Below are 24,742 nucleotides of genomic sequence, written 5' to 3'. Positions count from 1 at the left end.
ATCTCCTGCTGGTGCTCCCCAGTGACTGTACCTGACTGGAGTCCAGCCAGGGGACAAGGGTACCCTCTTCATGCAGTCTCTACAGTTGGGTATCTGAGGCACGAGTAGTGTGGATGAGGGTGGAAAGTGGATATGCAAAGGTGAAAGGAAGCTGTCAAGCCAACACTCAATGACTAACTGCTGAATGAGTGACTGCCAAGGTCAGATCACACATTCCCTGAGGGAGTGAGTCTTATGCTGCATGTGGTCCTCCCTCCCTCTTCCATCCCTCCCTTTCTCTATTTGCCTCTCTCTGCTCACTCACTCACTACATTTTTATTACTTGCTGTGTGCTATTATGGCAAACCACTGTGCTCAGCACAAGGCATACAAGCACATAAAGACACCACTGTCAGAAATAAAACACTGGGGTAAAATTTTGGCAGTATTATCATGCCATTTGGCTAGGAACACAGAAATGTCTATTCTCTGGGCTGTCCCAGCCATGCTTCTCTGCAAGATTCCTAAAGGAAATGCCTGTGTGGAGAATGGAGTGATGCAAAGCAAGGTGTCCTTGTTGGCTGAGACCAGGAAGCTGCACCATGTGTATGGACACTTCTAGCCTCACCAGGAAGACCCAAGGCCCATTCTGCCAAAGTCCTTTCCTTCCCATCTGTAAATCCAACCCCAAATCCTGGACATAGTCATTCTAATTATAGAAAAAGCTGCTTTTACCCTAATTCTCTCTACTCTGGTATTAGCATGTTTCCTGCTTAGAGATTTTTCTTTCCATATCTCTGAGGAATTTTAGTGCTACTTCTAAGCCATCTTGTTTCTTCCCATACCAAGACCATCTGTAGGAAGAATAGATTGTTTGTATTTACAGTGGGATTTTAGAAGGGATGGCAAGACCTTCTGATCCTAGCTATTAAAACATCCCTCACCTCTGGCAATGCCAGCCAGGAGAAGAGAAGGAGGTATTGAGGACTACAAGGGTAAGGCTAAGAGTAGAAAGTAGTGCCTTATGTCAAGACAATTTTGCCTAGAATTGACCCTCCTGGTTTGGCTGAAATTCTGATCAGTGACCCTTCTAACTCAAGAGTTCAACTCTCTCTCTCTCCATCTTTTTTTCTTTTCTACTTGTAGTTCTATGACTTTAAATACAGATATAGATTTGTGTAACCACGACTACAATCAGGATATCCAGTACTACCGCCCCCAAAACTCCTTTCTACTGCCTTTTTACAGTCACATTCTCCCCCTACCCCTGCCCTGGGGAGCTGCTGATCTCTCCTCTATCACTATCATTTTGTCTTTTCAAGAATGACATAGAAATGGAATCATACAGTGTGTAACTTTCTGAGACTGGCTTCTTTCACTCAGCATAATACCTTTAAGATTCATCCAAGTTGATGTGTGTTATAACATCTGTTTTGATCTCTCATGTATTCAATCTGCCCTCACTTGACAACACAAATGCCTGCAATCTAGAGACTAGAACATTGTACTGTCTGTTGCTCAACTCTTATTAAAAGCCCATGTTTTAGTAAGGATCACTTGGTTACACGGAATGCTCACTCAACTTCACCCAAGAAAATGGGAGTTTATTTTAAGGATCCAGGTTTCTCCTGGGAATTTAAAAAAGAAGTCTCTCATCACAACCAGTTCTGCAAATGGGAGGTATTTTGGGTTTGAGGCAGCCCCCTGGGGAGACAGCATGATCACCATCTCTCTGTCAAGAACTGGATGGTCTCTCCCTCACCCAGTGTCTCTGTGTGTGTGTCTATGTGCTCTGGGCTCCCGCTTTACCAGCAGCCTTTTTCAGAAGTGGTATCTTCTGTTTCCCTCTCCCTTAAATTCAGCACATGGCCATTACAGCCTCTCCCACCCTTGCCCTTCAGTCCATTCAGCTGTGGCCCCTGTTTCCAACTAGTGCTGTAAATTCAAATTCTTGGGGAATACTATGACCAGCTCTGCTCATCTTTGAAGCCAGGCAGCACAGGTCTCTGGCCATGTGATGAAATGCCTGCCCTGTGTCTTGTGCAAGTGGGGTCATGGTGGCTTGGTAGAGTACATTCCTTAGAAGGGGGTGAGTTGGAGAGTGGGACAGGCAATGACTGACAGTTCTAGCATTTTCCATTAAGATAGAACTCTCTATGGAAGATTGTTGAAAACTCTATTCATTTCTTCAGACTTTCTGTTCTTCACTCTTTGATCAAACCAGATTGTAGGAAAAATGCATTTGGACCATCTTGCTTGGCCTCCAGCAGGCTGTGTTCACTGAACTGTGTTTTGTTATCCTGCTGGCTTTCACTGAGAGATATTACAAGAGGGAGCCCTATTGAAACTATGACTGCATTTTCTGTTATTGAAGTCATTATCTATGTAATGTGTCTAACATGAAGTTTCATGTGAAAAATTTATTTGATGCATAAATTTAAGGACACACTTTACTTCCCTTAAGGAACTGGTACATTTTCTTCCTCTTGAGCAAGGAAAGCTGGGTAAGTTATTCAGCCTCCCTCTGTGTTGATGCTCAGAAAACTCTGTTCCCAGTACATCAGGATTCAGCTAGAGCAGCTTCCCAGACTCTTATGGTCTCCATATATTTGTTTTTGGCCTTTTCTTGATATATTTTTATTTTCTTGATCTTGAGTTTTAAATGTACATTTGTTCCCTGTGACCCATCTCATAATATTGCAAAGAATGAGGACAGATATAAACAAATAAAACCATGCTTGAGGGAGTAATGGGCTATGGAGTCTAGCTCCCTGCCCTAGGCTGCCATCTTGACTGTGCCATGAGGTCTCTTTCAATGACAAATATCCACTGAGCTAACAGTAACAGTTGCAGACTTTTCAAGGTGGAGAAAACCTAAGCAATGATGAAATATACGTTGGGAATTATAACAAGAGTTCCAAGGACTTACTTGCATCATTTCATTTAATCTTTACAATATCCATAGGAGATAGATATTAGGACAAATTATTTAATCACTAAACGTCAGCTTCCTCATTTGTTAAAAGGAGATAATAATGCCTTCCCTCCAAGGCTGTTATAAAAGTTAAATGAAATAAAAGCTGTATGATAGCTAACACAGTGTGTGACGCATAGTAGGTAATTAAAACTATTAACACCTTTTCTACCCTTTCCCAATGTGTCCCACCAGTGCCCTTTCCTGTCATCTTTGGTAACTTTCTCATGTCTTACACATGATTTTAATGTTGATTTTATCTAATCTAAATATCTTCTTAATGCTTTGTTCTCCCATCTGCAAGCGTTTAACTTATTTGACTATGATCAGGACAGGAATGATGTCTAATGTCTCTTGTCCAGCCATAAGCACAGAAAGGTAATTTCTGGCAAGTCATTTTTTTATCATGAAGATTATACAAAATTTTCACCTGTGGAAATTTTTGGCAGTTACGTTTGGATCGGATAATTAATTAAGAAAAGGTTTGTTTTTGCAAAAATATTGGGCTGACCTTGGTGGACCATTTGGCCTTCTTTTTAGGATATGGGACTTGGGAAGGGAGTTGTGCCTGGTGGAAGAGCCATGTAGTCATTGCTGACTTAACCTGCCTGCATCCCTGAAGGGGCTCACTGATGTTCCTTGTACTGTAGGACAGTTGGGAGCTATTAGGCCTTGGTTGTGCCTTTATAATCTTTATTACAATCTATCATGGGGCCCATGAGCATTTAGCCAGAGAGACTCCTCTTGAGCACCAGTGACACAGAGCAGGTCAATAGTAGGTCAACCATTTTATAGGGCCACCAGGGGCTGCCTAACACAGTAGTACTTGGCAAGACACCATTGCCAGGCAGATCTGAAATGGACACTGTGATCCTCTGTGCACAGAGCTCAGTGCACGGAGCCAAGTAGAACCTGGGGGACTGCCCTCATCTCATCTTTACCTGCAGCGCCTTGAAGGAGATACCAGTTTTGTCACTGAGGGAACAAAAGAGAATATTTATGCAGAACCCATGAGATTCCACTTATATTTCACATCTCTTTAATAGACTGTGGCTACTAGGAACAACGTTTTCTCATTATTAATAATTTCCTGAACATTATTCCAAACCAAGCTGTCCTGAGACCAGACTGATAGGAAGAATTAGGATGCTACATCTCCAGTTTCCACCCCGATGATTTAGAATTAAAGGTCTCAGTCAAACGTTTTTAACCGACCTTCATCTCAGACATTGAATGACCGAGAATCTGATAGCACAGGAAGCTTCATTTTCTAGTCACCGACCTTGACTTCAAACTTTGAATTACACAGAAAATGAGAGCTATTGTACCTGAGAGGATCAAGGAAAGAGAAACAATTGGAAATCTGCCATGGGGGGCTCCAGGGTCATGGAATCCTATTCAGCCCCATGGAGATCCTGTCTCATCTGCTTAAACTTGAACTAGAGGGGGGCAGTCCTTCTTTGGGGAGAGTGGTTTTGAGCAACAGACTAGCAGTCCTAGTCCTCAATTCCCTCCCCAAACTTTAATTTCTTGTGTGATTTTTAGATCGTTTCTTTTGGGTATTCAGCCTTGGGAAAGCAGAAACAACCCCCAGTTATACATACATGCCCCCATTTATACAAATATGTAAAATACAAACCCCTTTCAACATAGGCTCCATCTGAGAGATCCTTATTTGAAGACTTGGGACACACTTACATTAGTCATCCCCCTGTGAGGAGTAGGTGGATGAGCCAGAAATGTAGATAATTGTAGCCCTGTCCCTCCCAGACAATGACACTATTGTCCAGAAACTCCAGGGCCTTCAGTATTATCAACTAGACTTTCTTCATCCTTTGTGTTTCTCCTTTCAGGAAACCAGATGTGATAAGCTTGACAGAGCCTGCAATTCCATCTAACACCTTGACACCTTCTCCTCCTTCAGAACCCCCCTCCCTGGCAGCAGCCAGAAACCTCCCCAAAGAGGGTGGATGCTCCGCAAGTGAGAAAGGGAAGGAGGGCATGAGAACTCCTGGTCTAAGGGGAAAGATACCAAGGAGGAAAGAGAAAGTCAAACCACAGACAAAATAATCCACAAAAAGCAGCAAATGTACATATATTTGGGGACTACAGTAAAACTCCATGATAATGTGTCATGTGAGTCTATAATTTAAATCTAGGTTTCAATCATTTTTCACTGTGTGCCATAGTAAAAAATAAGTTTTATATTGTGACTCAGTACATATACACGGTTTTACAAAACAACCTTCACCCTTACTACATGGGATACATTCTGACATTTTCTTCCATCCTATCCAACCCTACTCCATTTTATCCTACCTTACATTACCTTAATCTATTCCAACCTTTTCTGCTCTGCTTCATTTTTAAAAAAAGGAAATGTTGGCTACTCACTAAATTAATTTCATGACCCACTAATAAAGCATAACTGGCAACTTAAAAATAGTAGTTTGTTAAAATTCATAGATGTGCAGACTTCTGATTCACAGACTTTTGGAACTGTAGATCATCTGTTTCTAGTGTAACCTCATTTTCCAGGTGAAGATACCGAGCCCTAAAGAGGTTGTAATTCATCCTCAATTGTGTGCCTGGTTGATGGCACGACCAATGTTCTTTCTTGGATTTACATGGTGATGCAAGAGGGAGTGTGGTGTAGGGCAGAGCCTGGGTTGACATTGGTAGACACATTCTGTTTAGAGCTCTGTGACCTTAAGCAAATCACTTAAACCATTTGGCCTCAGTTTCCTGGAAAATGAGGTGTGGTGAGGATCAATTAAGTAAGACATAGGAGAGGCTTTGCAAGCAGTGAAGTCCAAAGGTGAAAAATTATTACTTCTCTTTTCTCCCTATGATAGTCTGTGATGCAGGCATTATTTGTATTTTTTGTCAGCAGTTCTACAACAGAGACCCTGGCTTTGGAACAGAAAAGAAAAAAAAAATCTATGCAGTAATCAGCCTCTTTCTCATCTTTCAGAGACCCCCAAACCCTCTAATTTATCCTCTACTTTATCCTCTCCTCTTTGTTTTTCTAATTTGTTTTTTACTTCTTGATTCATCTTATCATTTCCTGCCTCTTCTTAAAGTAGTCAAGGTCAATGCATGGTCAGAAATAAAGAGCCCATATAGAGATGATAAACATATTCAGAAGTGTCTGTACAGGTCTGTAGCAACATATATACCCAAGTCTATCTCCATGCGGGAGTGGCAAGGGGTAGACTAGCCATCTGGAAATTTATCTAAGATGTTCATCTGTGTCTTAAGAGGATGATGACATTCCACAAACAGAATCAGTAGGTGTGAGTAAGACACGTGGATCCTGTCCTCAGTTGGTTCTAGGGAAGAACCATGTTGCCTCTGGAGCATCCAGATGCATGAGATTTTCTCTGATATGTAAACATGTCTGAATGGTCTCGTGCCAGGAGAACCCATTAGTTCATGTGATGACTTCAGATGGCATCTGAAAGATAGTCTTGCTCACAGGTGGCTTTGTCCAGATGAAGATTCAGTTGACATCAGTGGCATGGGAGGGGCTCTTCTTGAGCGGGGCAGGTGCCTCAGGAGGCTCAAGGAGCAGGAGCACGTTGTGGCTCTCCTGACAGCTCTTCAGACTTGGTTTACCCTGTCCAAGGGCTTTCAAAAGGAAAGTTAAGCTTGATGTGGCCTCTTGGTCACTCTGGAGCCATTTCTCTGCTCTGCATCAGAAGAGGTCCAAGGAACTGGAGTCTACCTCTCTAAGGATCTTGATATATCTTAGAACCATAGGAAAAGTTTAGCTGGAAAACATTTAAATAAATCCATCTGCACATCCCTATCTCATATTTGAAAGATATAGCAAGGGTAAGGCTCATTTTGTGTTTTCTCCTATCAACATAAATTCTGCTCAAATATCTGGTTCAGTTTTCTTAGTAATTTATGCGTTTTCAGCTCAGTGATTTTCTGCAGAACCAGCCTTTTATGAGAAACTAAAATTTTCCCAGGGAGAAAATTGCCTTCTCTGTCACAGTAGTCTATATTTAGTGCATAACCACCTGTGTGACATGACCTGAGTTCCCCCATCTAAAATGAAGCTGTACCTAGAGAGGACATCGCTTTATGGTGGTGGAGAGCACAGATTTGGGAGCCAGACTGTCTGGGTTTGATCCCTACTTTTCTGCTTATCAGTGATGTGACCTTGAGAAAATTACTAAACCCATTTTTGTTTCAATTTTTTTCATCTGCAAATCAATGATGATAATAATAGTATCTATGTCATGAAAATTATGAGTTAATGCAGTGCCCAGTTACAGTAACTGCTAAAGATTTAGTATTTTTCTTACTGAAATGATCTGTGAGTTCCCCTATGGTTTTAAAAGTAAATGATAACATTATAATAATGATATTTTACGTTGGCATATCTTTGTATTATTTGTAATACTTGTCCTCATATATTATCCCTCAGATGAGGAAATTGAGGCTGAAAAGTTAAGTGACTTTTTTGAGGATATATTTTTTAAGGGGAGTAGCTGAGTCTAGCAGTAAGCTTTCTTATTCCCAGTTTGCGGCACTCCCCTCACACGATGATGCTTTCAGCTGGGAATAGATACCTCCCTCCTAGATGGCCCTCCTCCTGATACTTTTCATTATTTGAAAATAGTGCCACCATTCTCCAAATTGCTGGATGCCCCCATAGACTAAAAAGTGTTTATAACTTTTCATGTCCATGTCTGTTTTAATAATGATAACAATAGTTGCTATAACTAGTAAACCCAAAAATCTTAGTGGCTTACCACAATAGTGATTTATGTCTTGTAAACCAAAAATAAAACTCTAAGCCTCCTAACCAATTGAGTGGACCCCGTCTTGCCAAGGGCACTCCAGAGTAAATCTGAAAAACTAGTTCAGGCCATGATGGGAAATGAGGTTTGGACATGCCTCATTATACCCTCCTCTCTTTGGAATTCAGGGACAACTGACCAGCATTAACATCAAAACAGAGATCTTAAGACTGACCAAACAGACTCTCTGTAGTAATAAAATACATCACTAAATGACAGATAGCAGGCCCTGACAGAAATAAAAATATTTTACCCTGAAATATATTTCTTTGATGTATTTTAAAATGGCCCTGCAGAGATGTCTCTTGTGGGGGAAATCTACATACTGTAGAGAATGTCCTCCCCTTTCTAGGTCTTTTCCTGATCCTAGAGAGATAAAGAGTCTGGTACCTTTTTAAGTCTGATAAGAAACATTTACAATCTATTCTCTCTGAAGCCTGCTACCTGGAGGCTTCACCTGCATAATAAGAACCTTGGTCTCCACAACCCCTTATCTTAACCCAGACATTCCTTTTCATTGACTCCTGGTCTTTAGATAATAACTTAAGTCTTTCAACCAATCACCAATAAGAAAATCTTTGAATCCACCTATGACCTGGAGGTCACCCTGCCCCCACCATTTGAGTTGTTCTATCTTTATGGACCAAACCAATGTATACCTTACATGTATTAATTGATGTGTGCTTGTGACTCCTGTCCCTGCTAAAATGTATAAAATCAAGCTGTAACCCAACTACCTTTGATACATGTTTTCAGGACCTCCTAAAGCTGTGTACATGCTTGTCCTTAACCTTGGCAAAATAAACTTTGAAATTGATTGAGACTTGTCTCAGATACTTTTTGGTTTACAGTCTCACTCATGTAAAGTACAACATCAGTGTTCTGGGTTGGGAGGAATGTCCACATGGCCATTCAAGGACATAGGCTTGAAAGTGTCCTCAAAAGTATCCTCTCTAGGACCCTAGAATTCTTTTCTATTCAGTGGTGGATGGGGCAATTTTCATCATGGAGAGATTTTTTCATCCACTTTTTAACCATTTTGATCCACAAGCAACACACATCACTTTGTTTCACATTTTAATAGCAAAAGCTCATTATGTAGCCCCACTGAGGTACCAGGAGGGCTGGGAAATGTTACCTGTTGACAATACTGTCTGTACAGTCACTTCTTGACAATGCTCTTAGAAGAGTGTGAATTTTGACCATCAGCTGGTCATTTTTGTCACACTCACACCCCCACATTTAATCACTTGCCATGCTGTGCCTATTCTCTCTCCAATTTTTCTATCATATTGACACTGTATTCCCATTCCCATCACCACCACCCTAGTTCAAACTCAGAAAATAACGATACTGGTTAAAGAGCAAAGTGAAGCACTAGATTTGGGAGGAGGCAATGAGAATGTACTTAGTTTCTGAAACTAAGTTCAAATCTCTGGACCTGGATAAATTTTATTTCAGAGAGCTGAGTGAGATCTATGTATGGAAAAATTATGGAAATTATTATTAAGTACATGGGGTAGACCTGGGCTTACTATGAACAAATCATTTCAGATAGACCTTGTGTTCTCTCTTCCAAGAGGATCATTAGCATTAAAGACCAGTGAAAAACAGATATCGAGTTTTTCTGAATTTCGGCTAGAATTTTGATCAGTTTCAATGAAATTCTTATGGAGGAGATGAAACACTGTAGCCTGGGTTGATTTATAGTTTGGTGGATTTAATTTGTTAGATGAATGAATAGAAACTTGGAGAGAGGTATGTAGAGGTATGTTCTACATACCTCTACCCTTTAGAGGTATGTAGAGGTTTGTTCTACAAACCTCTACCCTTTATTTAAAAATTAATAGTTTTGGTGGAAGACTTCATCCTCAGATTTATGGTTTATGTGAATTTGGGAGTTAAGCTAGTATCTTTTAGGTAGTGAATTCTTCTTAAAATCATCTGGGTGAATTTCTAATCTTGAGGTTAGAGTGAAAAAAGACAAATCAAATATTGTTCCATGTATGATCATATTCTTCTGTGTATGTTTATCCCCTTTGGAGAAGATAGAAACCAAAGAATTTTTAATTATATTTTGGCCTCAAAGTGATCATGTATTAAAAGTTAACTTTGTACCAGTGAGCAAGACTTAGCCAGAAGAGTGTTCTTACTTATTAAATTTTAAAAAGAAATGGTCAGATGAATTATTCCCTGAATTCTTTGCCTGGGTTTCAGAGGAAATACGTCAATGAGTTGTACCTCCCTCCATGCCTCACCACCACCTCCCCTGCTCCCTGCTTCTGAGGTGATAGCCTTGGGGAAAGGATCAGTGGGAGGCTGGCTGTGATCTGATGAACAGAAGTCTGGAGACTCAATGTGTTTGTCCATTTTGCATTGCTATAAAGGAATACCTGAGGATGGGTAATTTATAAAGAAAAAAAGTTTATTTGGCTCACAGTTCTGCAGACTGTACAAGAAACAAGATGCTGGCATTGGCTTCTGGTGAGGTCTCGGGAAGCTTGTAATTATGGCAGAAGGTGAAGGGGAGCCGGCATATTACATGGTAAGAAAGGGAGCATAGGAGAGTGGGGAGGGCCTAGATTATTTTTAACAGTCATATCTGGTGGCAACTTATTACCAAGCCATTCATGAGGGATCCATCCCCATGACCCAAACACCTCCCACAAGGGCCCACCTCCAACATTGGGGATCATATTTCAACACAATATTTGAAGGAGACAAACATCCAAACTATATCACTCAGCATAAAAATCTGAGGCCTGGGCACTAACAGGGAGTGCTATGGTTAGTGCTATTAGGAGATTCCCAAAGGTTCATCTCTACTCTCCTGCACACCAAAGAATGAGAAACAAGGGGACCTGCCAGGCTGAACCATGGTTTAGACAGAGTAATTAAAGTCATGCCACCACAAGCCAATGCCATTCCAAGCAGAAGGATCCTGGATTGTGACCATCTTCTATTCTTGTGCCAGGGCTGGGGGGACATGGGATAGGTCCATGCTTCTAAAGTGGGCTTCTTTTCCTTTATAAATACCCAGTGCTAAAGAGTGCCTCATTCAGTTGAGTCAGGCAATGGGCTGCCCTCTGAGTCAGATGGGACCTATAGCTGGAAACATTAAAACAGAAGGTACATGGCCACATGCCAGTGATATTGTAGAGAGAGGTCCTAAGCAGGGCAGGGGACTGGAAGGCTTTAGGAGGGGGGCTTTGAATATCCCTTTGGGTACCAAAAATGTCCAAACTCCTGACTTTCCATTTATAGCTTCCACTGACTGCCTAAGAGATTGGACTTCAGTGTCTGAAATATCTGAGTTTTAGTCCCAGCTCTGCCATGTGATTTTGAAACATTTTGAAAGTTAGTTCACCTTTCTGTGCCTCAGTTTCTTCATTTGTAAAATATGGATATAATACTGGCATGTCAACTGTTGACTCCACAAAACACAACTAAAAATCCTGTTAATCAAGCACAGTTAAGTTTATTAGACTTACTTCAATAAAAGAGAGATCACCACTTGCCAAAGTCTTTATAGTATCTCAGAAGAGGGGAGTTGATGGTATTTATATACTCCTTCTTAAACTCTTCCAAAAAAGAACAGGATCTTCTTTCAAATTCTTTTTATGAGGCAAGCATCACCCTGATAACAAAGCCAAAAAGACCACACGAAAAGAAAACTACAAGCCAATATACCTGAAGACAATGGATACAAAAATACTCAATAAAATATTAGCAAACCAAATTGAATAGCACATTAAAGGGATCATATACCATGATGGAGTAAAACATACCATGATGGAGTAAAATATCCCTGGGATGCAAAGATTATTCAACATATGCAAATAAATCAATTTGATACACCATATTAACAAAATATAGGATAAAAATCACATCATCATCTCAATAGATGTGGAAAAAGCATTTGACAAAATGCAACACCCTTTATTGATAAAAACTCTCAACAAATTAGGATAAAAGGAAGTTAACACAATAAAGGCCATATATGTAAAGTCCACAGCTAACATCATATAAAATTCTGAAAGGGTGAAAGTGGTTCCTCTACGATCTAAAATGAGGCAAAGATGCACACTCTCACCACTTCTCTTCAACGTAGTATTTGAAGTTCTTGCCAGGACAATTAGGCAAGAAAATAAATAAAAGGCATCCAAATTAGAAAGAAGGTAGTGAAATTATCTCTGTTTGCAGATGACATAATCTTATATATAGAAAACCCTAAAGGGACCACCAAAAGATTATTAAAACTAACACACAAATTCAATAAAGATTCAGGATACAAAATTGACATATAAAAATCAATTGCATTTCTATATACAAACAACAAATTATCCAAAAAGGAAATTAGGCAAACAATCCCATTTATGATAGCACCAAAAAGAATAAAATATTTAGGAATAAACGTAACCAAGGAGGTGAGTGAAAGGCTAGTACATTGGAAACTATAAAACACTAATGAAAAAAATTAAAGTAGATGCAAATAAATGGAAAGATATCCTGTGTTCATAGACTGAAAGAACTAATATTGTTAAAATATCATACTATCAAAAGTGATCTACAAATTCTATGTAAGCCCTATCAAAATTCTAATGTCAGTCTTAACAAAAATAGAAAAAAATCCTAAAGTTCATATGTATCCACAGAAGACCCAAATAGACAATGCAGTTTTGAGAAAGAAGAATAAAGGTGGAAGCATCATGCTTCCTGATTTCACAATATATTACGAAGCTACAATCATCAAAACAGTGTGGTGCTGGCATAAAAACAGATGTATAGAGGGTTGGAATAGAAAAGAAAGGCCATAAATAAACCCACACATATATTATGATCAAATGATCTTCAGCAAAGGCCAAGAATATACAGTAAGAAAAAGATAGCCTCGCCAATAAATGTTGTTGGGAAAACTGGATATCTACATGCAAAAGAATAAAATTGGATCCTCACCTTATACCATACACAAAAATCAATTAAATGGATTAAAGACTTGATACAAAAACCTAAAACTATAAAACTAATAGACTTTTGAAAACAGGGGAAAAGCTTCTCGGCATTGGCCTCAGCAATGATTTCTTGGATACAATACCAACAGCACGGGCAACAAAAGCAAAAATAGACAAGTGCAACTACCTCAAACTAAAAACCGTCTGCACAAGAAAGGAACAATCAACAGAGTGAAAATCAGCCTACAGAATGGGAGAGGATATTTGTAACTCATATATCTGATAAAGAGTTAATATCTAAGATATATAAAGAACTTCTATAACCAATAGTAAAAAAAAAAACTCAATTAAAAAGTGGGCTTTCCAGATCTAAGAAAAAAATTTTGTTTAAATGGACAAAGGAACTGAATAGATACTTCTCAAAAAAGATGTACAAATGACCATCAGGTATATGGAAAGGCTTTCAACATCACTAATCATTAGGAAAATACAAATAAAAATGACAATGAGATATCATCTCACACCTGTTAAAATGGTTATTATCAAAAAGACAACAGACAAATGTGGGAGAAGTTGTGAAGAAAAGGAAACCCTTGTAGGGATGATGTTGGTAGGAATGTAATTGGTACAGCCATTATGGAAAACAGTGTGGAGGTTCCTCAAAAAACTAAAAACAGAATTGCCATAAGATCTAGCAATCTCACTTCTGGGTAGATGTCCAAAATAAACAAAATCAGCATATCAAACAGATATCTGCACCCCAATATTCATTGAAGCATTATTTACAATAGCCAAGATATGGAAACAACCTCGGTATCCATCAACCAATGGATGGACATTAAAAATGTGGTGTGTATATCTGTATATATATATGTACACTGAAATATTATTCAGCTATAAAAAGAAGGAAATTCTGCCATTTATGACAACATGGGTGAACCTGGAGGACTTATTAGCTAATAAGCTAATAGTGAGCTTATTAGCCAGGCAGAGAAAGACAAATACCGCATGATCTCACTTAGGTGTGGAATCTGAAAACCCTGGGTATTTTTGCATCCTTTTTATCCCGTAGGTGAATTCAGTGCTTTGAGCTGTCTTTAAATGCGACTGAATGGTGCCAGGCACTTATGCCCAGGTGATTTCTGGAAAAGGGCACGTGTACAGAAATAGCAAATAGGTGGTAGAACTTCATGCAGTACATGGTGGTGAAAGAATCTAAAGAACTAGTAGTTAAGGTCAGAGATTCAGCCAAAAAAAGCCATTTCAAACATGAATCATTAGATGTAATTTATGGCTGAAGGTCTAAGAGGAAAGACCAACTAGCAAATACATAAGATTTTCCTGTTTTTCTTAGGAGATGGGCATTGCTTGTTAGGTTACCACAGTTAGCAACATTTTCCCTCCTATAATCTGTTAAGTTCTACATTATTTGTGAGTTTAACCTTGGAAATAAAGACCTAATTTTTTAAGTTGGAAACTGATTATATTAATATTTATTAGCGCTTCCATACATAATTTATTAAACTTTTAACAAAAACAGTCACATTGTTTTATAATAATGACCATCATTTTATAAATGCTGTGCTTTATTCTACATTATTAATTCAGGTAATCTTCATAATAACCCTACAAGATAAGATTTTTTTATCCCCATTTTCCCTGGGAGGAAACTGAGGTTCAAAAGGGTTAAGTAACTTGCCCAACCTCTCTTAGCTACCAAATGGTGGAACCGAACTTTGAACTTAGGTTGGCCTCACTCCAAAGTAATATTTTTAACCATAGGAGTAATTGAATATGCATGTATATTAAAAAAGATTTTCATCTAAAAGTAAGTTTTTTTTTTTTTACTATGAAACTGATTTTGAGGGATCAAGGAGACATTGTAGATGAGGTAGTATATGAATACTATATAAAAATAAGTTTTTCTTATTATATAGGTTTATTATACATATATAAACTTATAGGTTTATTATACATGTATAAACGACTAAGTATAAATAAAATACATCTTTAAATTTGCTCACAGGTACTTAACTATATCACTTGAATACACTCTGTTGCACTCACGTTATGGTTACAAGAGATGTATATTTATTAACAAATGCAGGGGTAATGGTCTGGATAGTCAAGGAATTTAAAAGACTCAAAAATTTTTACTTTCTTTACTTACATAAACTAACAAGTATAAAAGTGAGCACAGGACTCTCAGACCCTTCAATGGGCTCTGGAGTTTACATGTACTTTTTTATGGTTGTTTTCAGTTTCATTTTCCTACCAAGAAGACAATCATAGTCAATATGCTCATTTAATAGCAGATGAAAGTGGCCAAGGGTGACAAAAACTAACAATTGACTTTGCGTTTAAAGTTCAAACAGGATAATGTATATCCTTTCAAATGGTCCTCCCGTCCCCAGAATCATAAAATAGAGTATCTTTCCTCAGTCTCTTGTGGCTGCACTTCCTCACAAATTGACTGGGATTCTTATCAAATTAGCATCATTTTTGACCAATGATATTGTTGATGTTTCCTGCAGTTTTCTCTTTTTTCCTTTTTTAATGAGTGGGGAGGAAGCACCCGTTGCTGGCTCCCCGGACGCATCACTCACAACCCTGTCTTGCTTTCTGGCCTTCGGTGAATTGGTGGAATCACTGGAGTACAGTCCTCCCTGGCAGTGTGTTTGCACAGTCACCTCCTAAAATTATAGGCAGCACACAGCTGTCCATGATGCTGTGGAATACAACATTCTTTGTGATCCAGTCCTTGCTTTCCCCAGTTGTTTGTTTCATAGAGATTTAGGAGAAGTTGGAGCTTAGAGATTATCTGGTTTCTTTTTTCATTTTATTGATTTGGAAACTGAGGCCCAGAAAGGCCCAGTGGTTCCCAAAGTGGGGTCCTTGGACCAGCACCACCAGTTTCCCCTGGGAACTTGTTAGAGATGCACATTTTCAGACCCCACCCTATGGAATCTGCAACTCTGGGGGTGCTGCCCAGAAATCTGTATTTTAACAAGTCATACTGAGACCCTTGGGTCATGCTATAGTTTGAAAAACACTGGGTTGAGGCATTTGTCCAAGGTTATGTATCAGGCTGGTGCAAAAGTAATTGCAGTTTTTGCATTGTTGAAATTTGCCATTTGATATTGGAATACATTCTTAAATAAATGTGGTTATGCATATACACCATGGAATACTATGCAGCCATAAGAAAGAATGAGTTCAATGTCCTTTGCAGGGACATGGATGAAGCTGGAAACCATCATTCTCAGCAAACTAACACAGGAACAGAAAACCAAACACCACATATTCTCACTCATAAGTGGGAGTTGAACAATGAGAACTCGCGGACACAGGGAGGGGAATATCACACAACGGGGCCTGTTGGGGGGTGGGGGGCAAGGGGAGGAAGAGCATTAGGACAAATACCTAATGCATGTGGGGCTTAAAACCTAGATGATAAGTTGACGGGTGCAGCAAACAACCATGGTCCATGTATACCAATGTAACAAACCTGCACGTTCTGCACCTGTATGCTAGAACTTAAAATAAATAAATAAGTAAATAAATAAATAAATATGGTTATGTTATACATAATTTTAACTTGCATTTCTTGCTTTATGTTTTTTTTGCTAATGACTTACTACTTGCTGTTTATTTTATATTTATTTTAGACTATGGAAATGATGTTAAACAAAAAGCAAATTCAAGTGATTTTCTTATTCAATTTCAAAATGGGTTGTAAAGCAGCAGAAACAACTCACAACATCAGTAATGCATTTGGCCCAGGAACTGCTAACAAACATACAGTGCAGTGGTGGTTCAAGAAGTTTTGCAAAGGAAACGAGAGCCTTGAAGATGAGGAGCATAGTGGCTGGCCATCGGAAGTTGACAAAGACCAATTGAGAGCAATCATCAAAACTGATCCTCTTACAACTACATGAGAAGTTGCTGAAGAACTCAGTGTCGACCATTCTACAGTAATTTGGCATTTGAAGCAAATTGGAAAGGTGAAAAAAAATCCATCTTCTCTTATTCTACGCAACAACAGTGAACCATATCTCTATCGAATCATGACGTGCGATGAAAAGTGGATTTTATATAACAACCGGCGACAACCACGTCAGTGGTTGGACCAAGACGAAGCTCCAAAGGCACTTCCCAAGCCAAACTTGCACCAAAAAAGTCATGGTCACTGTTTGGGGTTCTGTTGTTGGGGTTCTGTTGCCGGTCTGATTCACTACAGCTTTCTGAATCCCAGTGAAACCATTACATCTGAGAAAAATGCTCAGCAAATCGATGAGATGCAACACCCACAGCCAGCATTGGTCAACAGAGAGGGCCCAATTCTTCTCCACAACACCTGACTGCACGTCGCACAACCAACGCTTCAAAAGTTGAATGAATTAGGCTACAAAGTTTTGCTTCATCTGCCATATTCACCTGACCTCTCGCCAACTGACTCACTTCTCCAAGCATCTCGACAACTTTTTGAAGGGAAAACGTTTCCACAACCAGCAGGATGCAGAAAATGCTTTCTAAAAGTTCATCGAATCCCAAAGCATAGATTTTTATGCCGTAAGAATAAACAAACTTATTTCTCATTGGCAAAAACGTGTTGATTGTAATGGTTCCTATTTTGATTAATAAAGATATGTTTGAGCCTAGTTATAATGATTTAAAATTTATGGTAGGAAACCAGTTACCTTTGTTGGCAGGACATAAACCCAGGCTTCTTGACACCCAATTTAGAGTGCTTTGTGCTCCGTCACTTGGCTTCTGCCCCTTCCTCACCTTACACATCCAGTTTTTTTTTTTTTTCTTGTTGGCATTCTTTTGGAAGCTGGCATTTATTCACTTAGTTTTAATGAGGTCCAGTCTAGCTGCTTTTTTTCTGCTGGTTAGCTTGCTGAGAGATTTAAGTTCAGGGGCTATATCTAATTATATTAATTTCATGTCTGGAGATTTTAACAATAATTTCTTCAAATTGAAGTTTTAATTTGACCACAAATCCTCACCCTGAGCAGAGGTACCATTTGTTCTCCCGGTTAGTAGATTTTTCTTTGCTTTTCAAGCAAAGTTCAGCAACTGAGCACATACATTTCCTTTTACCCTTCTGGGTAGACGAGAAAGGCTGATGCCCTTTCATAAGCAATCTTCTTTTTTCTAGTGACAGTTTTCATCCTATTCTGATAAAATTACACATCAGGATTACCCCTTTCCACTTCATTCTCAAAGCTCCAGCTTTGGTGTCTCTTATTGATACCGCATGTTGAAAGAGTGTGGCCCTTGGAAACTTCTGAGGCTCCTTCTTTGCCTCCGTGGATCCAGGCAAGACAGCCAGCCTTGTCTGACCCTCTTCGACTATTCTCCAGTGATGATGGACTACATGTGGCTGGGCTTCCAAGGGGCGTACACTTTCTTTTAGTCTTCCTTCTCTCCACCTGCGTTTTGTTTGGGCTTCCATTCTTGGGCTAGAAGCATGTTGTGGTCACAAGGCCCTGGCAGGAAGCTGTGTGATTTATGGCTTCTTTCTTCAATAAAAGAAGTTTGAATGGGGGCTGAAAGGCACTTTTGAGCTTGACTAGCCCCCTGCTTGTTGTAACCTGGGTCAGGGAAATTCTGAGGACCTTGGGAATTTATGTTTTCTTTCCTTACCCTCGGTTCTTCCTCTTCTTCCCAGGGGAGCTCTTTCAATCTGGTGCTTCTCCAAGAGGTTTGACAAAGGCCACACCCAATCGGGAGAGCTCTTAGGAGGCTGGGGGTTCTAGGCTGAACTCTGCAAATAGGTATATTCTGGGCAGGTGCTGAACCAACACAGAAGGAGCCCAAAAGGCCTGGAGTTGACTTGGCTATGCAAGGGTCCCTCAGGATGAAATTTGTCCTGGGAACTAACTAAAATCCGATGAGCTGCAGTGAGAGAGAGATGAAGATTTCAGGAAATGTCTCCTAAGTACTTTGATCCATGACATTTGTCTATTTGAGGTTAGAATTACTGAAAAATGTAAATATTGATATTTATTTTATGTCTCTGGCCTAGGGTTTAAATAAGAAAATTTTTGCATGATGGTTCTGCATACATATGAAGTTGTTGTGGAGCCCCTCTTGATATATAAAGAATGACAAAGATAATAATTACTGTTATGGAGTACATGCTATGGATTCCTTAGTAGGCACATTACAGACATTGCCACGTATCCTTCGGTCTAACCTGCAAGGTAGATACTATTAGCTTCATTGTCCAGGTGAGGAAATGGAGACTGAGTTTAAGCACTTTGTTCAAAGTAAAACACTAAGTAAGAAAATTTAGTGACATTTTCCTTTTTCTGTGGGAGGACTTGATGTAGTGAGTAAGCACAATGACTCTGAAGTCAAACTGCTGAGTTCAAATCCTAGCTCTGCATTTGGTGTTATGAGATGCAGCTATACTCAATTTCCCTGTACCTCAATTTCCCTATCTGTAAAGTAGGCATAATAATGGCATCTACTTAATAAGGTTGATATAAAAATGTAAATAATTAATATACATTAAGTACTTAAAGTAATGCCTGGGATAAAATAATTCATATGCATTTTGGCTATTAAGAAAATACAAGGCTGAAAAAAAGGCACTGTTTCACATCATTTGCCAAATATACTAATTCTGTAGAGGAGCTTTTCTACACGTCTAATACTCATTTCTGTCTCTTTTCAGGGGTTGGTAATAAAATACTTCAGTACCTAGTAAGAAAGTCCAAGAGGGGATATATAATTTTTACTTAGAACAAATAAATCATTTATCACTCCTTTCTCCCCCTCTCCTACCCTCTTAGAGTGCTCTCCGGGCACCCTGCACCTTTGTAACTCATGTGGCTGCAAATCACACAGCAGCCAGAACTGAATCCCATTTGCAGTACAAAGAGACTGCCAGGGAAGAAATGGGCTTAATTAGTGAGAGATGTTCAAGGTAAAGCCTTTACAAAAGAGCTAACTGTGCTGTGTTAAAGGGAAGAAATATGATGAAAGCCACTATTACGGAAGCCGGAATGATGCATATATTTCCTTAGCCTTTGCCTGCCATATCACATCCACTTAGATGTCTCAGCTCCAATTTCAGGGGCAGTTCAAAGCTGAGGTTTCTGTTAGGAAAGTACAGAACTATGCAAGAGCCTTGGAACTTATCCCATCAGATCTGTAACCACTCTGGCCAATTAACATGCCAGCTTGGGGAAGATGAAGGTGAAGACAACAGACACCCCTCTCTCAGAGATATATGTGAGAAACAGACATGGAAATGGCCAATCACAAATACAATGAGAGATTTCTAAGCCTAAGCCTAGGATGTTGACTGAAAGGTGAATTTGCATGGTGAGACAGGATAGCTCAACAGAGGCAGGGACACCTCAATACAGCTGGGACCTGACCAGGTTACTAGGGAAGGAGAACATGAGCAAAGAAATCCAAATTCTCAGCTCCAATGTTGGCATTGCCATTTGCCAGTTTTGTGATGTTGGGTGAATCTCTATAGCTATGAGCTGTAGGTTTTTAAGGTTTTACATATTAGTCTTAATAACCTCCACATATACAGTAGTCCCATGCAAGGTCTTACAGGAGGGACAGATACTCTTCTTTAATAAACGGTTAAAGGCTCCAGAGAGACTGCTTGGAGATCAGACCAATATTTATGTGACTTAAATGGAATCTTTCCTTCAATGGAAATGCTCCAGATTTACATATCTTACCCAGTAGTGGGTGGGCATCTCAGAATTTCTAGCTATTCTAGAGATAATTTTCAAACTACAACTAGATAGTTATGAACTACTTCTTGGCTTTATTTAAGGCTTGCATCTTGTTTCTAGCATTGATTGGAACCTGAGAGTTTAGGGAAAACTCTGACCGACCATACACAATGTGTAGACTTCATTCTGAACATTCTAGGATTAGACTGATGCTATTAGGATGCTTAAGGGTGTGTGATATTGACACAATATGTAAACTGAGCAAACTTTATTCATTCAACAATTGACAGTACAGTTGGAGAGCCCTTCTGGATGTTGTGTCCATGCTCTCTGGAATGTGTGGTCTCCAAAGTCATCAAGGTGAGCTAAGAGTGAGCATGGAGAAAGTATACCCTGGACAAAAGTGGCACACCACTTCCACTCACATGCCATTGGTGAAAATTAATCACATGACCGTATCTAGATTCAAGGGGGCTGGGAAATGAGGCAAAGCAAATAGAACAGTGAGTGGCAACAGTCTCTACCATGCTTCCTACACTTCCTCTATAGTGAAATGTATCACATCCTATTGCAAATGTGTACCTAACTAGTTGTCACATTGGTAGATTTTCAGCTTTGTTGTGGTAAGACCTGACTTGGTCACTGCCATCTCCTCAGCACCTAGTATACTGCCTGGAGTGTGGTCAGGACTCATTAATGACAGCATAGATATACGATCAAGGAAGGCTGTCCACTCTGCCTCAGACTGTAATAAGAGTGAGGATAAGCTTTAAATGTCAATGTCATAAAAGGTAAAGAAAGATTGTGGCAATGCTCTAGATTAAAGGCAGCTAAAGAGACTTGACAACTAACTGCAATAGCTGTCCCCAGACTGGATCCTGTACTGGAAGGGAGAAAATGTTACAAATGACATAATTAGATCAGATGACAAAATTGGAATATGGATGTCAGGTTAGATTTTTTTAAAGTATTGCATCAAAATTAGCCTGTGAAGATAATAATTGTACTATAGCTATGTGAAAGACCTCTCTAGTCTTAGGAAACGTACACTGAAGTATTTAGGGGCAAATGACCATAATTATATAGTTTACCTTTAAATACTCCTGCAAAGGGGTAAAATGTTAACAATAGGCAAACCTGGGCAAAGGATATGTGGGTATTCCTCGTACTATTTTTTAGTTTTGCAACTTTCTGTATGTTTGAAATTATTTCCAACTTAATTGTTAAAAAATAAAATGTAATTGTGTTAAGTTGCTAATATTTTGGGGTTTATTGTTGCTAGAGCATAGCCCATACTGTCCTGACTAATAGAAATAGAATTGGGAACACATTGCAGGGCGGACAAGCTTTATTCAGTGGATCAGAGAAGAGTTTTTAGAAGATGGCTTGAAAAAAAAGCAGAAGCCAGTCAAGCGAAGAAGTGGGAGTATTGCAAGCAAAAGAACTGTATTTATGAGGGCCCAGTAGTAAGAGAGGGTACAGTGCATTAACAGAAAAGAAAGAATTCAGCATAGCTGGGACACAGAGGAGAGAAGAGGTGAGAGATGAAACTGGATATGTAGACAGGGCCAAGTCCTGATGGGCCCTGTAAGCCACATTAAGGTTTTGAACTTTAAACAATAGACAATGGAAAACGATGAAGGGTTTTAAGCAAGAGTGACTACGATTTAGATTTTTAGAAGATTACTCTGGCTACACAGTGTATTAGAAGAGAGGAAGACTATTTTAGAAAAGATCAATGGGACAGAGAGGTGTGGGAGGTTTGACAGCTCGTTAGGAGATGATGTCTATTGGCCTGGGTGATTGATGGGTGAGAAATGGGAGGAGTGAATGATAACTCAGTTCTGGCTAGAGGAGTCAAAGAGATGGTGCTCCCATTCCTCAGACTAAGAAACCCAGAAAAAGGTCAGGGTTGCCAAGGGAAAATAATGGTTACAGCTTGGACATTTCAGCTGGGACATCCAATGAATAAATGTTCAGGAGGCAGTTGGATGAGTGGGAAGGGAGCTTATACAAGAGGTCAAGGCTACAGGTAGAGATGTGGAAGCTCTCAGCACTTTTACAGGAGGAGTGAGGTCACCAGGAAGAGGATAGAGTGGAGAAGAAGGTCCAGGGCAGACGCTGCAGGTTCACTGGGAGTATAGATGGATGGGTAGATGATTTGATAATTACTCTGGGCTTCAGCAGTACCAGTGTGGATAGACTATACTACTCTTGTGACTCAGTTTCTCTCTCATTGGGGTAATAAAGCTCTGTTAATTGATACTTAGACAAAGGCTTAAATTAGATTTAGAAGTTTCAAAATAGCATGTGTTCACATTTAGAAGGGATTTCTGCATTAATTAATGATGAAAGTGTTTTCTATAATTAGTAGGTGATCTGTTGACATCCCATTTTACAGATAAGGGTCAGAGGGTTCAAGAAGTTTTAAATGTTTTATTTCCTGTTTCTCAGGGATTTGGCTGACAAGCTATGAATCAGATGCCAAGATTTTGGCTTTTAGACTTAGTGTAATTCCAAATTAATTATTTAGAGGTTGAGACATGCTACACATGCCTTTTTATATACATTTTTTTTTTTTGAGACGGAGTCTTGTTCTGTCTCCCAGGCTGGAGTGCAGTGGTGCAATCTCGGCTCACTGTAAACTCTGCCTCCCTAATTCAAGCAATTCTCCTGCCTCAGCCTCCTGAGTAGCTGGGATTACAGGCACGTGCCACCACACCCAGCTAATTTTTGTATTTTTAGTAGAGATGGGGTTTCACTACATTGATCAGACTGGTCTTGAACTCCTGACCTCATGATTCACCCGCCTCAGCCTCCCAAAGTGCTGGGATTACAGGTGTGAGCCACTGCACCCGGCCGCCTTTTTATATTCTTTAATTTTTTTTTTTTTGAGACAAGGTCTTGCTCTGCCGCCCAGGCTGGAGTGCAGTGGTATAATTATGGCTCAGTGCAGCCTTGAACTCCTGGGCTCAAGCAATCCTCCCACCTTAGCCTCCTGAGTAGCTGGGACCACAGGTGTGAGCCACCACACCCAACTAATTGAAAAAAAAAATTGTAGTCTCAATATGTTACCTAGGCTAGTCTTGAACTCTTGGGCTTAAGGGATTTTCTCACCTCAGCCTCCCAAAGTGCTTGAGATTACAGGCATGAGCCACCCCACTTGGCCTATTTTCTGGGTTTCGATCCTCAATTTATTCACTGGTTCAATCAGCCAGTGCTCTTCTTTTCATCTATGTGCTTTTTGGAAAGTTACATGGAAACACAAATTTTTAGTCAATTAGCTGATCATAGTCCTTCAACTCCTACTTATACTTCTAGGCTCAGTTCAGATATGTTCCTGGAAGCACTGGTCACTCTTCCTCTCTTGGCTGGGGAAGTGCCTATGGGCAAACTTTCAGCATTCTGCTGAGAAGGTCTGTTTCCTCTGGTTCTCTCCTGCTAATTTGCACCTTGAAGACTGGAATTGGCTGGGTCTGACTTGCTCGTCTTTGAATCTCCAGCACTATGAGCAGGACTCATAGAATATGTTCAACCCCACGGTTTGTTAGAGGATAGGATTAATGAGGCCTTGTGGGTATGATTTCTTTGTGGGCCTGTCATTGGCTATCTCAATGCTGCAGACATACCCCCTTACCCATGGTTTACTTCCTTTCATGCAATTGTCAGCTTTCAGAGTTGGCCATTGACCGCAAACCTCTCTTCTCTGTCAGTTTCTCCTTTCTCCACTCACTACCCTGTATGGTATTTGGCTTCTGGCACAGAGTAATTTGGCCTTGCCAGCAATTTATTGGGTCTTATCTTACAGGACACAGTTGGCTAGTCATCTTTCACAAAACTAGCACACAGCAGGCACCTAATTAATGATGATGATGGTAATAGCATACTGACAATTGAGCTGGACACCTTCTGTTAGTATGGTATCCTGTAGGGACTGCTGTTTTCCTTTGTTTGGATCAATGTCTTTGTACTAATACTTCTTGAAAGATGAAATGTGTGTTGTGGAGATGAATATGCAGTCAGGACCTGATGGGCTGATATTGCTAGGGTGGCTGGAAATTAATTCTTCAGGAGAAGGTGGGAGGCAGGGAGAAGAAGAGAAAGGAAGGGGAGGAGGTTGGAAATAAGAGATTTGGAAGGTATGGGTCTCCAGGAATAACTGCTACTGTTTTTCACGTTACAGATTATTTACCCCTCAAAACAACCCCCAAGGTGAGTATTGCCTTTGTTTTGCAGATGAGAAAACTAAAATCTAGAGAGATTAAATAACTTGTCCAAGATCACATACTTAGTAACAGAGTTAGGATTCAA

Source organism: Homo sapiens, chromosome 14, assembly GCF_000001405.40.
Source record: "Homo sapiens chromosome 14, GRCh38.p14 Primary Assembly".
Classification (NCBI taxonomy): domain Eukaryota; kingdom Metazoa; phylum Chordata; class Mammalia; order Primates; family Hominidae; genus Homo; species Homo sapiens.
This window is presented reverse-complemented; position numbering follows the sequence as displayed.